The sequence below is a fragment of the Homo sapiens genome, chromosome 6, assembly GCF_000001405.40.
Source record: "Homo sapiens chromosome 6, GRCh38.p14 Primary Assembly".
NCBI lineage: Eukaryota > Metazoa > Chordata > Mammalia > Primates > Hominidae > Homo > Homo sapiens.
The window spans coordinates 23,803,282-23,805,318 of NC_000006.12; the positions used below are offsets into that span (position 1 = coordinate 23,803,282).

At 45.4% G+C, this 2,037-nt stretch overlaps 2 annotated features.

The window, feature by feature from the left end:
* Positions 811–1,311: an enhancer, noted in NCBI's record as "H3K4me1 hESC enhancer chr6:23804320-23804820 (GRCh37/hg19 assembly coordinates)". NCBI's record gives its function as "activates a minimal SCP1, AML or CMV promoter by ChIP-STARR-seq in naive H9 embryonic stem cells {active_cell/tissue: H9 hESC(naive)}" and the evidence as "EXISTENCE:reporter gene assay evidence [ECO:0000049][PMID:30033119]".
* Positions 1,312–1,812: an enhancer, noted in NCBI's record as "H3K4me1 hESC enhancer chr6:23804821-23805321 (GRCh37/hg19 assembly coordinates)". NCBI's record gives its function as "activates a minimal SCP1, AML or CMV promoter by ChIP-STARR-seq in naive H9 embryonic stem cells {active_cell/tissue: H9 hESC(naive)}" and the evidence as "EXISTENCE:reporter gene assay evidence [ECO:0000049][PMID:30033119]".

The window sequence follows — 2,037 nt, forward strand, 5'->3', positions numbered from 1 at the left end:
GGATCAAACCATCACTGCCTGAAACTAATTGCCTAGAATTGAGTAGGGACAATAATTTAGCTTTCCCACTTGAACATAAAACATCAAACTAAAAAGAAAATCAACAAAAAATGAGGTCTATGATGGATCTTTAAACTGATAATTTAACATCTCAAATAAGATTGTTAAACAGATTTTCAGGTAATATTAAAACATCCACAGGCACATTTAGAGGGTCACTGATTCCTTTTTTTCAGTCAAAGCAAACACAAGTCAGTCCACAAAAAGAGTTGACACACAGTTCATTCGTCATATTCATGGCTGCCAATCATTTTTTGATTAGCCTTTCTGTATTGGTAAAATTTTGTATTACGAGTTCTTCTTCCTCGAATTAGAATTCAGAATTCAAATATTCTGCCTTGCTTTTGGGGAAAAAAGTCTAAAGAAATCTCTATTAACCAAAATCAATCACAGGATGCTTTGACTTAGAAATAATGTTGAAATAGGCTTGATGTGGACATTTAATTTTTCTTGCATAGGTGACAAGACAATATCAACCTTTTGAGAATAACTATAATTATAAAAGTTGAATCTTTGATGCTTGACAGAAATGGTTGTAATAAAGATGATTGTCTTGCATTTGGTGCTTCTCTGTGGCAGCAGAAATGGTGGTTATATTTTTCTGCAGATCTGGGGCATTGTTCCTCTACCCTTAAGCATTAGTCAATTTCTTCAGCCCTCCCAGTGATTTGGGGAGCAATCTAATATCCTTCAAAGTAACAGCCCTGGGGGAGGAGCCAAGATGGCCGAACAGGAACAGCTCCGGTCTACAGCTCCCAGCGTGAGCGACGCAGAAGATGGGTGATTTCTGCATTTCCATCTGAGGTACCAGGTTCATCTCACTAGGAAATGCCAGTGGGCGCATGTCAGTGGGTGCACGCACCATGTGCAAGCCAAAGCAGGGTGAGGCATTGCCTCACTCGGGAAGTGCAAGGGGTCAGGGAGTTTTCCTTTCCTAGTCAAAGAAAGGGGTGACGGACGGCACCTGGAAAATCGGGTCACTCCCTCCCCAGTACTGCGCTTTTCCAACGGGCTTAAAAAACGGCACACCAGGAGATTATATCCCGCACCTGGCTCGGAGGGTCCTACGCCCAGGGAGTCTCGCTGATTGCTAGCACAGCAGTCTGAGATCAAACTGCAAGGCAGCAGCGAGGCTGGGGCGGGGCGCCTGCCATTGCCCAGGCTTGCTTAGGTAAACAAAGCAGCCGGGAAGCTCGAACTGGGTGGAGCCCACCACAGCCCAAGGAGGCCTGCCTGCCTGCCTCTGTAGGCTCCACCTCTGGGGGCAGGGCACAGACAAACAAAAAGACAGCAGTAACCTCTGCAGACTTAAATGTCCCTGTCTGACAGCTTTGAAGAGAGCAGTGGTCCTCCCAGTACGCAGCTGGAGATCTGAGAACGGGCAGACTGCCTCCTCAAGTGGGTCCCTGACCCCCGAACAGCCTAACTGGGAGGCATCCCCCAGCAGGGGCACACTGACACCTCACACTGCAGGGTACTCCAACAGACCTGCAGCTGAGGGCCCTGTCTGTTAGAAGGAAAACTAACAAACAGAAAGGACATCCACACCAAAAACCCATCTGTACATAACCATCATCAAAGACCAAAAGTAGATAAAACCGCAAAGATGGGGAAAAAACAGAACAGAAAAACTGGAAACTCTAAAAAGCAGAGCACCTCTCCTCCTCCAAAGGGACGCAGTTCCTCACCAGCAACGGAACAAAGCTGTACAAAGAATGACTTTGACGAGCTGAGAGAAGAAGGCTTCAGACGATCAAATTACTCTGAGCTACTGGAGGACATTCAAACCAAAGGCAAAGAAGTTGAAAACTTTGAAAAAAATTTAGAAGAATGTATAACTAGAATAACCAATACAGAGAAGTGCTTAAAGGAGCTGATGGAGCTGAAAACCAAGGCTCAAGAACTACGTGAAGAATGCAGAGGCCTCAGGAGCCGATGTGATCAACTTGAAGAAATGGTATCAGCGATGCAAGATGA